Below are 15,434 nucleotides of genomic sequence, written 5' to 3' on the forward strand. Positions count from 1 at the left end.
TCTTTGTGTAAGTTTAACTTGACTTATATGTAGCTCTGTGCTTATTTCTGAAGACATATGGAGCCATGAAACTGACCCTTGGCCACTATAGGAATGAGATATTTTGGCTAGTGATTTATAATGTGCTATTTAAAGTTCAAAACTCCCCTAGAAACACCCTCCATCGGCTTGTCTGCATTTTTATTGAAAATGTATAGCCTGATGGCTGGAACCTAGTGTACTGAGTACACAATCTGGTTTGGCTATATGACCGTAGAAAAATGAGACTGGCTTCGGATTTTTATGGTAGTGATGGGGTTGGTCAGGGTGAGGGTTCCTGTGCAAGGTGAGGAAAGGGTCTTACACGGTTTGAACTTTCCGCCAATGACAAAGGAGACAGCACTTGGGCTACCAACTTGTCCAGATGTGGGGCACAAAGGGAAGAGCAAGGGGTGAGGCCTAAAAGCTTTCAGCAGCCAAACATCTAAAAATGGTGCCAGACTTTTTATAATGAGGGGTGGTCATATTTTCTACACGGTCAAACTTAGTAACATAAAAATATTCATAATATCCCTGTATTGTCCTTTTGATGCCTGTGGAGTGTTTGTGATGTTTCCTCTTTCATTCTTCATGTTGTCAATTTGTGTTTTCATTTTTGCTTGATTTGCTGAGCTACAGGTTTATCTGTTTTATTGAGCCTTTCGAAGAACCAGGCTTTGGTTTTATTAATTTTATCTATTGCTATCCATTTTATATTTCATCAATTTTCACTGTCTCTCCCATTCTTCACTTTTCCTTATATTTATTTGTATGTTTTGCTTCTTAAGGAGGATGCACAGATCATTCACTTTAGACCTTTCTTATTTCTAAATGTAGGCATTTAAAGCTAACACTTTCGCCCTAAAGCATTGCTTTAGCTGAACCCCACAAATTTTGTTATGTTGTATTTTCATTATAATTCACTTGAAAATATTTTCTAATTTCTCTTATGACTTGTTTGACCCATGGCTTGTTCAGGAAAGTATTATTTAATTCCCAAATCTTGGAGATTTCCTAGATTTTTCTTGGTTAATGATTTTTCACTTTGTTGTGGTCAAAGAATATACTCTGCATAATTTCAATCCTTTTAACTTATTGAGACATGATTTATGACCAGCATATGGCCTACGGTAGTGAATGATCCATTTACATTTGAAAAAAATGAGTATCCCATTGTAGCTGGGTGGAGGGCTCTATAACTGGGGGCAGCTTTAGATGGAGTAGTCAGGAAGGGCTTCTCTGGGAAAATGACAGTCAAAATTTATCAGTGGCAAAAAGGAGCCAACCTGGCAAAGATTGTGGAAGGAGCAGGCTGGACAGAGGGAACGGCTCGGGCAGAGACCCTGAGAGAGGGGAGGAGGTGGCTGGGTGAGAAACTTCCAGCAGGCCCTGTAATTGCTGTCATTAGAGGACAATAACCTCCTCACAACTTATGCTTAGGTTTTGGGGAGCTGCTGTTCTACCTGGCCTAATTCCTCATATCTACAATCCTCCTTTCTCCCCAGCCCTACCAGAGGCAGTAGGGACTGAAGGGCTGGGCGACTGGTCACCCATGTGATGGGCCTGGCTCTGGCCTTTGCCCCAGGTATGATTTCCAGGAAGCTGCCTTATTCCCAAGACCCACCAGAATAAATAATATTTCTAAAACAATAATAGCAGTTGTCATAGGTCATACAGTGCCAAACACACACATAGCACATTTCATTTCATCCTTGTAACTAACTACCTTGTGGATAAGTATCATTATCCTTTTCGCCTGTGAGGAAAGTGAGGCTAGGGGAGGCTGGGAAATTCACACAAGTTCACACGGCTTTGAAGTGGCTGAGTGGGGGTTTAAACCCAGATTTGTCTCACATTGAAGCCTATGCTCATAACCATTAGGCAACACCGCCTTGACTATACCACCATTGATCCCTGAATTGCCATCTTAGTTCCTATCTTGATGCTGCCAAGTTTCTCAGCGTATTGAACACTGGGACCTGCCTTGTTCCTGCCAACTCTCCTGCCTCAGGCACCACCCCATGGCCAGAACCCTGCTCTATGCTGACACCCTAAACCCCACTGGCCTGGCCTGCGCCAGGATACCCTATAGTCACATCAGGGGCTGCGTCCGCTTTGCTGTACTGGTGCGATTCCAGTTTCTGCCTGCTGGCCTCGGCGTCCCCCCAGGCCTCCCTGACCAGGGAATGGATCCAGTTCCAGGTCTCAGCCTCTTATTGGCAGCTTCACTCCTCTGTGATTCAATAGACTGGCCCCAGGATCTGGCAGAATTTATGCTGCCCACCAGCTTCCACATTCTTCTGGTGTTTCATGTAGTTTTCACTCCTGAGGTTTTTGGGGACTCCCCCTGCCCTTCGCACCCTGAACAACATCTCCAGCCATAGGCTGGAGAAACCATAGGATGGAGAAACCCCATCACTGAAACATTTTTACACTGTTACATCCAATATATGTATGTTTAGTTATACACCAATCATAGACATGCACTATTATACCAGTATAGTAGATATATGATAAAGCACAGCATTACACAGCGAGATAAATGCAACTCTCTAATGCATACAGACATATTTGTGTGTGTATAGAATATACACAAAGCAATATTTTTTTACAGGAATTTGCATGTGGTGCAGATGAGAGGTACATCCCTCCTCTGCAGACCCCTTAACCACAGGATCCAGACAAGCCCCTCAGGGCAGCTCCCTGGCTGTCCATCCTGGACCCCCTCTCTCCTAAAGCTGAGCCTCCTTCTCCACCCCAGCCCAGACCTCTCCCTCTTCCAGGCAGCTCACCCTCCACTCTCCTCCATCCCAACACCGGTTGGGGAGTCAGAACAGCCTGGGATTAACTTTGGACGGCTGCCTCCCAGCTGTGTGACTATGAACAGTGTATGGCGCCTCTCCAGGCTTCAGTTCTCTTCTGTAACTTGGGATCATAGCACCAACTTTTCAGGGTGGTTGTGAGGACAGAAAGAGGAAACACCTAGAAGGGAGCCTGGCCCAAAAAGGGTGGTCAACGAATGGTGGCCATCACTGTTATCTTGCCAGATGAGTTCACTTCTGCCTCCAGCCCTGCTGCATACTGATCCTTCCTTCCCTGCTGCGGGCCCCTTACCTTTCCTCCCCACCACTCCCAATCCTCCAGGCTGGTGCTTCAGGACCCGGTTAAAGTGCTAACTTTTCTAACCACTCCAGCCCACTGAACTACTCCCCAGATTCTCCCTATGCCGGGATCCCCTGACCGGCTGCCCTTAGGCCCAGGAAGCCACAGATTGCTGATTAACCCTTTCTGTCTACTGTCACTGCCCCAGCTGCTTATAGGCTCCTAAAGGGCAGAGGCCACAGAGCTCCAGTGTCTTTGGTACCCACCACAGACAGTGCTCAGGCAAAGCTGCTGAAGTGGATCAGTGCCGTCAATCACAGGGATCTGAGGTCTTCCAAAACCCTCCACCCCGTTACATTTTACCACCCCTTGTCCATTTGCTGAAATCACAAGGCTGGGTCTGTGGGCCTGTGAAATCCCTCAGGCCCCTGTAGAAGAGGCCACTCCAACCAGACACTCCAGCAGGTTCTGCTGAGCACAGATCAGCATCTAATCACGTTTCCATCACAACACGGTGAGAAACGTGTGACTGGCCCTTAGCAACGGTCTCTCAAGAAAGCTACCCCTATAGAGAGCTCATTAAGTTCGCTGCACACACGTGAGGCAAAATCTAAAAACAGACCTGTGCTTTCTGAAGCCTCCTGCAGCACGTGGCAGAAGCTGGAAAGGGCAAGGACAGAGATTTGCTCTAAATAAGGGCAGGGAAAGAGAAAGCCCCTGAGCGGGTCCAGATCCCAGAGAAAGATGGCACTGGACTCCCTTGCTGGGGTGAGCATCTGCAGAGTGGAGAGCCCTAAGGTGAGGCCAGGCCAGCCACCCCCACCCCATCCTACCCCACCCCAGCCACAAGCTGCTCCCAGGCCCCGGTGCTGGGGAGCTCTCCTTCACCCCAGTAAGCCCCTGTGTCGTTTGGAACCCAGGAAAGAGCATCACCTGGAATTGGCCGTGATGAGAGTTTGAAATAGTAAGATAAGAACTTAACATTTAAAACTTAAAATTCATTTCAATCCAGCAAACCTCAGGAACTTACCATGTTGCAAACCACTTTCCTGGGTGACCCAGTCCTCACTGTTAAGAAGTTTACAAGAACATGTAAGACTTACAACTCATACCCACAATTCAGGATGACACACAGTGAATGCTGTAATGGAGAAGCAGGCAATGCATTCTGAAGGCAGAGAGAAAGGAAAACCACCACCAAACAGGGAATCAGGGAAGGCTGCATGGAAGAAACGGCACCTGCCCGGGGCCTTGGCTCCTAACTCCTGGTACCTGAAAGTTGTCTTCTTCAGTGTTCAGTTGCATGCAGCTAGCGCTGGTTAAGTAGTTAATTAAGAAGGTGTCTTGAGAACTTGGTTACCACCTGTTCCCTGGTTTGCTGAGGGAAAGTTGCGGCTTCTGCTAAGTTTTAAACATAGCGGAAACCACTTACAAATTAATGATGGAATTAGGCTGGGGTGCAGGCTCACACCTGTTATTCCAACACTGTGGGAGGTCAAGGTGGAAGGATCACTTGAGCCTAGAAGTTGGAGGCCAGCCTGGGCAACACAGCAAGACCCTGTGTCTACGAAAGAAAAAAAAAAATTAGCCAGGTGTGGTGGTGGCCTGGGTCTACAGTCCCAGCTACTCAGGAGGCTGAGGCATGAGGTCCGTTGGAGCCCAGGAGTTCAAGGTTACAATGATTGCACCACTGCACTCCAGCCTGGGCAGCAGACTGAGGCCCTGTCTCTAAAAAATAAAAGTTAACTATTAATGGTGGAATTAAAATAGAATGTATTGGTCCTCAAAATATGGTCCCCAAACCTGCAGCATCAGTATCACCTGAGAACACTGTAGAAATGCATATTCTTAGGCCTTACACCAGACTTACTGAATAGAAACTTGGGGAGTGGAGCTCAGCAATCTCAGTTTTATCCAGCCCTCTGGTGATTCTGATGCATGCTCAAGTTTGAACAGCTCTCATGTAATTACTTGAAGCTAAGATGAGAAATGATTGATTTCTGTGCCAAAAACAAACAAACAAAAAAACCAAACTTGTAGAAACTGCCCAGCTTGACTGCCTCCCTCAAAAGAGTATTTGTTGTCCAGGCACAGTGGCTCACACCTGTAATCCCAGCACTTTGGGAGGCCGAGGTGGGTGGATTGCTTGAGCCCAGGAGTTTGAGACCAGCCTGGGCAACATGGTGAAACGTTGTCTTTAGGGAGCCAACTGGAAGGTGGCTAGAGGGACTGGGAGCACAGACACCAAGGACCCTGCAGCCTTACTCCCTGTGCTGGTCTTCTCCCTTCCTTATGGAGACCATGGTGGTACCATGGGCTCTCCTTAGCTCACTGTGGTGGAAAAGTAGGAAAGCCAACTGGGGCAGCATAGGCTGCGGAGTTAGCTTCTGCTTTTAAAATGGTTTTGAAATGCAAGGCAGTCCCAGCCACCTTCATGGAATGCTATCCTTGATGCAAAATCAGCACAAGGGGTAAACACTGATCCTTTTCTGTGGAGTACACACACAAAAGACAGTCTTTCTGCATTAAAGGGATAGCAAACCTGGAAGGTGAAGCAAAAAGGATGTGCGTTCCACTCTGACGTGTGTTTGAAAAGAATGAAGAAGAGCCGGCGAGGGAGTCAGCGTCTTCACCTAAAGGTCTTGGCAGGCCACTGGACAACAGTAAATGGGTCTGAAAAATAACATCATATACAGCTGGAGAGGGAATGTCCAGGAGAGCCCAGAGTTTGAAATACAGGCTATCAGACATGCGGGCACTGGAGCCTGGGTCAGAAGTGTCTGGGTCCACACAGGCTGCAGCTGGCAAAGGGGTGGCATGAAGAGGGGGAGCCTCTGTGTAGTGTTAGCTGGGAGAGTCCTGCGCCATCCTCAGAGTCACCAGGAGACTCCATTCCCAGGAGGCAGACACTGAAACGTCTTTCTCTTAGCAAGGAGGCAGCTGTCACACCTTCTTCTGAGAGAGCCACACTCAAAGCTGGAACACTATGGACTGTGCTTCTCTTTCAGACCCATGGGTCCGGTAAAAGTTGGCAACAAAGGAGTTGCTGAGACCTGGATATGGGGATGATGAAAACATGCTTTGTGAACTGCAATGCACTATACAAATGTTGGGGGTTTTTTAAAGGAAATTAGCATCAACATGAACTACAGTGTGAGCAGGCATCTACGGTTCCCAGGCTCTTAGTAGCTAGAGCTGGTTGCCTCACTCTGACTCTCCTCACTGAAAATTAACCAGTTCATTTATTTCTTCCTTTACTCGGTGCATTGGAGTCACACTTACTGAGCACCTACTATGTGCTAGGCACTGGGCCTACTAAAATGAAGAAATGGATGATACCCTCAAGAAATTCACAGCTTGGTAAAAATGTTCCAAAGGTACCAGTCATGCCAAATGCATGGAAAAGGGTATGAAAGGAAACAAACCAGAAGTGGCTTTCTCTGGGGAGGAGGGAAGGAGGGGGTACTATTGACTTCTTTACCAATAAAAGACTCAGCTATAGCACCCGTGTGTACCCCTGGGTTTCAATAGATGACTCCGATGTGAGTGGGTGTTTTACATGCAACCAGATGAAAATGGCTTTGATTTTTGATTTTGGAATAAACTGCTTTTTCGATTAGTCAGAAGTTCTATGAAATGTTCCCAGCTGGCTCCTGGGTAAATGTCCCAAGCCTGCAGACTACATGAGCTCCAGACAACATTTAATTATTTCCTATTTCACACTGCCCATGCAGAGAATGAATTTTGCTTCACGTGCACGGAGCTACTTGGGCTCATTTTCCTGCTGTTTTCAACTTCCCATTGACCCAAATCCCTCTCTGGCCCTAGGGATTGAGACTTTGTGTTCCAGTTACATAAATTCTAGGCCTCAGAATAGCCACGCATGCTGGCAGCTCTTTACCCTGTCGCCTGGGCCCTCACATCCTGCCGTGGTATCCTTTCAGATGACCACAGCTCTCTTCCGCCCTCCTGGGTGGGCAGGGCCAGAAGGGCCAGGAAATAGCCCCAAATGGGAGGACTAAACCCCCTAGCCAAGCACCCTGACCACAGTGCCCACTCCTCATTACAGGACACAGGGGAAGAAGGCTTCCTAAGTGTCCTCCAAGAAGTTTTAAACATAGCAAAAACCAGTTACAAATTAATGGTGGAATTAGGCTGGGGTGCAGGCTCACACCTGTTATTCCAACACTGCGGGAGGTCGAGGTGGAAGGATCACTTGAGCCTAGAAGTTGGAGGTCAGCTTGTGCAACACAGCAAGACTCTGTGTCTAAAAAAGAAAAAAAAATTAGGTGTGGTGGTGGCCTGGGTCTACAGTCCCAGCTACTCAGGAGGCTGAGGCATGAGGTCCGTTTGAGCCCAGGAGTTCAAGGTTACAATGATTGCACCACTGCACTCCAGCCTGGGCAGCAGACCGAGGCCCTGTCTCAAAAAAATAAAATAAAAAATAACCATTAATGGTGGAATTAAAATAGAATATATTGGTTCTCAAAATATGTCCCCAAACCTGCAGCATCAGTATCACTTGAGAACACCGTAGAAATGCACATTCTTAGGCCTTACACCAGACTTACTGAATCAGAAACTCGGGGAGTGGAGCTCAGCAATCTCAGTTTTATCAAGCTCTCTGGTGATTCTGATGCATGCTAAAGTTTGAACAACTCTCGTGTAATTACTTGAAGCTAAGATGAGAAATGATTGATTTCTGTTGGAAAAAAAAAAAAACTTGTAGAAACTGCCCAGATTGACTGCCTCCCTCAGAGGAGTGTCTGTTGGCTATGCACAATGGCTCACACCTGTAATCCCAGCACTTTGGGAGGCCGAGGTGGGTGGATCACTTGAGCCCAGGAGTTTGAGACCAGCCTGAGCAACATGGTGAAACCCTGTCTCTACAAAACATTTTAAAAATTAGCCAGGCATGGTGGCACATGCCTGTAGTCCCAGCTATTTGGGAGGCTGAGGCGGGAGGATCACTTGAGCCCAGGAGGCTGCAGTGAGCTGTGATTATGCCACTGCACTCCAGCTGGGTGACAGAGATCCTGTCTAAAAAAAAAAAAAAAACAAAATACCCAAAGTATTTGTAAGTGGCGATTCCTCAGACTTTAAATTCTACACATGAACTAAGTTTTTTGAGGACATGAGAAAAAAATTGCATTCCTTTGCTAGGGACACACACACACACACACACAAAGACAAAAACACACACACACACACAAAGACTGGGCGGCTTAAACAAAAATGTATTTTCTCACTCTTCCGGAGGCCAGAAGTCCAACATCAATTTCCTCTTCAGGGTTGGTGTCTTCTGAGGTTTCTCCTTGGCTTGCAGAGGGCGCCCTCTTGTGGCCTCTGCATGCGGTCATCCCTCTCTGCAAGAGGCCCTAATAGCTCCTTGCAGGTTCAATTTCCTCTTCTTATAAGAACAGCAGGCAGATTGGATTAGGGCTCACCCTAATGGTCTCTTTAAAATTAATCGCCTCTTTAGAAATCCAGTCTCTAAATACAGTCACATTCTAAGGTGTTATGGGTTAGGGCTTCAACATGAGTTTTGGGGAAGCACACTGCCACCCATACAAGGAGTCTTCTCAAAATGGACGGTGTGTCAGCATCCACCAGTCCTCTCTGAAACCCTTTCCTTCGGTGTGTGGGACCAAGGTGAGGCACACTGGACCCTCTCTTTACTTCCCCTCAGCTCCCTCATAACCTCACACCGCTCTCCAAGAGGCAGCTGATTCTGTGGACCCAACTGCCTCTCCGAAGAGCAGCTGCGCCCTTGGTAAAGGAGAAAGTAGAAAAGGAAAAGGAGAAGCTCAGGTGAGAGCATTCATGAGACCAGCAGGGAGAAGGGGCAGCAGAGAGGGGGCCGCCTGCCTCTGTCTCTGCGCGCGGTGTCAGAGCCCCGGCACCGGGAAGTGGTCGACTGGGGGGTTGGTAAAAAGAATTTACCGACAACAGTACAGCTTTGAAAAAGGAACGTTTATTAGAAAGGAAGAACGCTACAAAAGGGTGCAGTGGGGCACCTCAGCGAGAGGACTGAGCGCACCCTGGTGGATTTTCCTTACCAGCATTTATGAACCTTTTAAGGTGGGAGTTGAGGGTTGTAAAATGAGTTTCAGCACGGCATTCCGGAGATGTATAGAAATTTTAGCTGCTTATAAAAGTTGAAAGAGGATTGGAACCTCTGAAAGTTTAAAGATGCCAACTTTACTTATTTTATTTATTTTTTTGAGACGGAGTTTCGCTCTGTCGCCCAGGCTGGAGTGCAGTGGCGAGATCTCAGCTCACTGCAACCTCTGCCTCCCGGGTTCAAGCGATTCTCCTGCCGCAGCCTCCCAAGTAGCTGGGATCACAGGCGCGTGCCACCATGCCCAGCTAATTTTTGTATTTTTAGCAAATACGGGGTTTCACCATGCTGGCCAGGCTGGTCTCGAACCCCTGACCTCAAGTGATCCGCTCGCCTCGGCCTCCCAAAATGCTGGGATTACAGGCGTGAGCCACTGCACCTCAGCTTAAAGGTGACAACTTTAGATACTAGAGAAGTTTGATTACTTCTAAATTCCCCAGATAAGGAGTTTTGCCTCCAGATGGCCTGTTTGGTGGTCACCAGGTGGTCTTTGCTCCTTTCTGAATTGTTCAGATAATTAGTTTTTATCTCCGGGGCCTGCTCAGTGGTCACCAGGTGATTTTCGCTCTCCTCAGTCTCCAGAATTGAGACAGGCAGGGAACCATCTTAGGGGCCTGCTGGGCTCCCCCAACCACTGTCCCCTGCCCAGCATGGAAAAATTTTGAGTCCCTTCAAGGGAAATTCCAGGCACCCAACTAGCCCTACGGCCAGCAATTAGAGAATTGAATAAATAACCCCCTAAGTGAGAAGATCATAATAACTTTTGCAATAGCCACCCAAATAAGTCAGAGTCACAAGATGTTTGTTTCCCTACAGAAACTAAAGATAACATCTTGACATATGTCCTTGAGTTGTTTTTAAGAAACCAGGACTCCCACCTGATGGAAAATGCCAGCTGTCTTCACAGTGATCTCAGACAGACTGAAGCCAAGAAGTAGATTTTAAAAGTTCCAGAAATTCTCTCACTTTGGAGACGATCCCCAACACACCACACCCTGCCACCTTTAAAAACCCCTGCTTGGAAGCCATCAGGGAGTTTGGGTCTTAAGCGTTAGCTGCTCATTCTCCTTGGCTCTGCTCAGTGCAATAAATGTCTCACTTTCTCTCACTGCAAATCCTGGTGTCAGTATTTGGCTTTTTCTGTGCATTAGGCAAGCAGACACAAGTTTGGTTTGGTAACAGAACTAGAGTTGAAGTAACCTCTCAACCCCACCCAATTTAAAAGGCTAAGCAGGGTGCAAGTTTGGAGCCAAATCAAGGCTAAACCACTTGGGAGCTGTGTGGTTATGGATCAGCCACTTACCTTCTTCATGCTTCTGTTCATTCATTTGTTCTACAAAATAAGCATAGGCTTTCAGACACCACCCTAGATCTTAATTACATGTAGGTAAAATGGGAATAATAAACCCAATTTTCTGAGTTGTTAGGAACATTCGACATAAACACCTAGGACAATGTCTAACCTATTAGTGATTGGTTGGGGACTTGGTCTGTGTTTGTCCACTTCTGTGTCACTTCAGTACAAGGGAGAGTAACTGGGACTCAATCGATATTTGAGAAAGGAAAGAGAGACAGAGGTGAGAGGAGACTAGGAGGGAGAGGAGATAAAGAGGTGAGTGTGGGGGACTGAATGGTCGGTGTCATTACTGCTACCACTTGGGATCGCCTGGACCCTGGGCAGTCCGAGAACATGGTCACTTTGGTACCAACCCTGAACCACATCACTTCCTTTCTTCCCCAGCAGGGCTTCTAGGAACAGAAGACTTTGTTCTCCGAGAGATTCCAGATTAGATTCCAGGTTTTTTTTTTAACTTTATGTATACACATTTAATTAGAATAGGCATAAACCAAAAAGAAGAAAAAAATCAGGATAAAGGGTCACTATCATTTTGTTTGCAAGGAGGAGTCAGAAAATGGAACAAATTACCAGAAAAATATTCTAAGGCCATCCTGAAGTAGCTAGGTTACATAATCTTGAGTCAAATGCCAAAATTAAGTATTATACCACTTAATCCAAATGAACAAAAGGGGAGTCAAAAGTTTATCCTGTTTAGGGTAATAATTTTTACATAGAATATATAGTGATTTGTTTCTCACAAAGTGGTACTGGTCCATGAAGCAACTGAAATGTCCCTCTGACACTCTGTCACCTCCATCTCCCCCGATTTTTGTTCCCCCTCACTTCTGACACCAGGACCTTCTTGCTACTCACAGACTGCTTAGGGCCCCTCACCCTGAAGGAAAAACAGGAGGGAGTGAGAGGACAGAGCCCTGGACCCTCCCACATTCTCCCCCTAACCCTGTACAAGGCTGGTCCCCTTCTTGATATTCCCAGACACCAAGTCTGTGGAATTAGCTAGTGAACAAATTCTCACTGTGGTGTGGTCATCACAGCGTAGTGTGTGACCCCTTCCAAGGGCAGCTGCCGTATCGTGGGGCCTTGAGGCACGGGAATAGGAATTGAAGGTAACCAAGGGTTAAGGCTTAAGCAAAAGAACAACAGGTACAGATAGTTCTAGGCAGGATTAGGTAGCATACAGCCCACATCGTGGCTCCTCTGATAACAAGACAGAGGTCTCCGCTTCAGCCTCTGATTGGTCTCAGGCCAATCCTTCATAGGGAATAACCAATTGGAGGCCTCCAAAGGGCACCTAGGGGTGTTACCAAATTCTTTTAGCCTAATAAAAACCCTAAATCAGGGGGCTCTTGAGCTGCTTGCTCGAGCCTGCTCCCACTCTGTGGAACGTACTTTCACTTCAATAAATCTGTGTTTTCGTTGCTTAGTTCTTTTGTTGCTTTGTCTTTTGTTGTTTCATTCTTTTGTTGCTTTGTTTGTGTGTTGGGTTCAACACACCAAGAACCTGCACAACTCACAGTCAAGACCTTCCATCTGGTAACAGCCTGTGCTTTAAGCCAAAGACAATAATTATAGAAAGTTATCCAGGAAGGGACTTTTACAGACCAACTGGCCTGAACCTGCACCTCCAATGGCAAATCTGTAGCCCCACAAAAAATGCAAAAATGAAAACTAAGCCCCCAAACAGAATGTCTCCTTTTCACCCCCTGACCCCTAGTTTCTCTATAAACCAGACTGTTCATGATGGCCTACATTTTTGGCTTGGCAGAGACAAGCAAAAAAAAAAAAAAAAAAAAAAAAACCACCTTCTGTCTCATTGCCTTCTCAGTGCCCTCAAACATTGCCAGGCATGTCCTATTATTACCTCTACATCTGATAACTAATTTCCTGACACGTGGAGCTCTCCCAAGAAGCCATTCCCACGACCAGAGGCTTCAAACCGGGCTGCTGTAACCCTAGTCCACACAGGACATTAGGCCAGCACCCCCGCCCCAGCTCCCCTTCTCCCCCACACACTTCCTTTGGGCCATAAGAGAAACCAAGTGTGCCTTGCTTCTCCCTGGGGCAGAAATCACCAGACTGAGGAAACAGCCACTTCCGTTTTTTTGTTGTTGTTTTTGTTTTGTTTTGTTGTTTTGAGACAGAGCCTGGCTCTGTCACCCAGGCTGGAGTGCAGTGGCACGATCTTAGCTCACTGCAACCTCCACCTCCCAGGTTCAAGTGATTCTCCTACCTCAGCCTCCCGAGTAGCTGGGATTACAGCTAATTTTTTTTTTTTTTTTTTTTCAGTAGAGACGGGGTTTCACCATGTTGGCCAGGATGGTCTCGATCTCCTGACCTCTTGATCCCCCCAACTCGGCCTCCCAAAGTGCTGGGATTACAGGTGCGAGCCACCATGCCTGAGCTGTTTTGATGCCAGGAAATCGAGGGCCTGAGTTTCCTGTATCTCAGCAAAGTAGGTGGGGATTGAAAGGCCTTCCCTGCCCTGCTGCCCAAGCTGAGCTGAGAGCTTTCCTGGTGCCCGGGCAGGGGCGGGGCAGGCATGCACAGGCCTGTCCATGCCCACATGTGTCTCCAGCACAGATGTTAACCACAGAGTATGACAGGAAGACCCCACTTCACTTCTGCAGACCCAGTAGCAAGCAGAGAAGGATTAACCCTGAAGCGAATGAAGCTTTAGTACCTCACTTCAAGGATCTGGGAAGGGCCCCAGCAATGTGTTCCTATGTCATGTGTCTTTGTAAACTGTATAGATTTAAGCTATCTTAACCTCAGCCAGTGAAGACTCTTTCCCTCCTGGTGTCCCCTCCATCACACAGCGCCTTTTGTAGAGTGACAGAGGATGTTCTGAGCATCTGGTTAAGGGGAATTAAATACAGGAAACATTTAATTGGGATTTCTTGGGATATTTTATATGGTCCACAGTTACTTCTATGTGTTAAGTAATTGCTAGCTGTTGTGAGGAATGGCTTCAGGAAGTCTCACCGCCTTCTTGCCCCAGAGGTGCAAGGCCAGGGGCTGTGCAGCAACAGTGAGGGAGAGGCAGAATTTGGAATGGATGGAGCCAGAAGCGAGTCTGTGGAATATTCATCCAGTTCTCACAGCTCACATGAGAAACCTGACACTAGGCTTCAAACATTTGACAACAAATCTGAAAATGTACATAACACTGCCAATAAACAGCAGGAAGAAACTTTGGTAAAATAGAATAAAGAAATGTTTTCCACCATGTTTGAGGAAAAGTGAATTATCTTTCTCTTCTCTCCGTAAAAAAAAAAAAGGAATCACAAAGTTGTCATGTGAAGAGGCGATTGAAGAGTATGGAAGAAAAAAAAAAGATGGGGAATGAATGAAGGGAATAAAGTGTTAATATAGTGTTATAAGGGTGTTTCAAAGAGTTAATTAATAAAAATAGTATGTTGTTTGAATTTGATATTTGTGGAATTTCTGATTCATTGTGACTTCTTTTCTCATTCTAAATAAATGCTTTTATACCTAGAATTTTAATGTGTATTTTTGTTTTAAGAAAGCCTCCAAAATTATATAAGCTTCAGGCCCCACAAAACTTGGATGCAGCATGGCAGGAAGTCACTAAGGTAACAATTTAGACCCATCAGAAAGAAGTCAACCATGTAACTAACAACAGCAATGGCATTCTGCCTTCTGCAATCCCAGAGAGCTTTTATATATAAGAAAGGCAATTTAGCACTGACAAGCGCTGGGTTCATAAGTAATAGAACCTTTCATTTCCTTTAACACGGTTAAAGGAAACATTCTCACTTGCAGATGAATAATGCACACTAATTTCTGCAATTTGGTAGTTCGGACCTCAAAAGGAAGGAGAGATCCAATGTCAAGCGAACTTTGTCATTGTTTCTGGTAAGGTGGGGCTGGGGGGTCTCTGGTGGTCATGGGGAATCCTGTCCCACTGCAGGGATATATGGGAGGACAGAAACTTCCCCTGACCTCAATTAGAGGAGGGGAAGACTCATATCTCCGGAACAAATCTCTCCACCGGCTCACCCAAGCCTCAGGAAAGGTATGAATGGTTTTAATTTTGAGTCTGCTTTGGCAGCCATTTTTCCTTGACTTTCATTTTCTTCCTTTCTTTTCAAATTATTTTATATTTGGGGAAATGAGGCATCAACCAAAAAAATCAAGTCAACAACATGCTTGTGTCTATTAGGAGGACAGCTGGGAGCATGCACTGGTGGTGGCTGAGGCTGGGATTTTGACAGGGTTCTCCCGGTTCCCATTGTGCCTCCTGAGCCACGACAAGGTCCCCAAGGAAGGCTGAACATGACAAATGTCTCACCCTGCCCTCTGTTTATTTCTTTAAATGTTCACTACATTATTTAGTAACTACTCTTAAAAATTATTGGAAGATTCAGACTTCAAACTATACTACAAGGCTACAGTAACCAAAACAGCATGGTACTGGTACCAAAATAGAGATATAGACCAATGGAACAGAATAGAGCCCTCAGAAATAATGCCGCATATCTACAACCATCTGATCTTCGACAAACCTGACAAAAACAAGAAATGGGGAAACGATTCCCTATTTAATAAATGGTGCTGGGAAAACTGGCTAGCCATATGTAGAAAGCTGAAACTGGATCCCTTCCTTACACCTTATACAAAAATTAATTCAAGATGGATTAAAGACTTAAAGGTTAGACCTAAAACCATAAAAACCCTAGAAGAAAACCTAGGCAATACCATTCAGGACATAGGCATGGGCAAGGACTTCATGTCTAAAACACCAAAAGCAATGGCAACAAAAGCCAAAATTGACAAATGGGATCTAATGAAACCAAAGAGCTTCTGCATAGC

The 15,434-nt window shown here is 46.1% G+C and overlaps 1 long non-coding RNA gene across 1 annotated transcript, besides 2 other annotated features; it reads right to left on the reverse strand.

The window, feature by feature from the left end:
* Positions 1–565: 565 nt before the first annotated feature.
* Positions 566–9,092, reverse strand: LOC107986631 (uncharacterized). The gene is made up of 3 exons (XR_007059702.1): positions 8,370–9,092; positions 7,295–7,387; positions 566–6,173 (listed from the first exon to the last, which is right to left on the reverse strand). It is a non-coding gene; the product is annotated as an uncharacterized LOC107986631 (long non-coding RNA).
* Positions 8,511–8,750: an enhancer, noted in NCBI's record as "active region_24933". NCBI's record gives its function as "activates an Ori minimal core promoter by ATAC-STARR-seq in GM12878 lymphoblastoid cells {active_cell/tissue: GM12878}" and the evidence as "EXISTENCE:reporter gene assay evidence [ECO:0000049][PMID:35858748]".
* Positions 12,554–12,653: an enhancer, noted in NCBI's record as "active region_24934". NCBI's record gives its function as "activates an Ori minimal core promoter by ATAC-STARR-seq in GM12878 lymphoblastoid cells {active_cell/tissue: GM12878}" and the evidence as "EXISTENCE:reporter gene assay evidence [ECO:0000049][PMID:35858748]".

The sequence above is a fragment of the Homo sapiens genome, chromosome 6, assembly GCF_000001405.40.
Source record: "Homo sapiens chromosome 6, GRCh38.p14 Primary Assembly".
In the NCBI taxonomy this organism is placed as follows: Eukaryota; Metazoa; Chordata; class Mammalia; order Primates; family Hominidae; genus Homo; species Homo sapiens.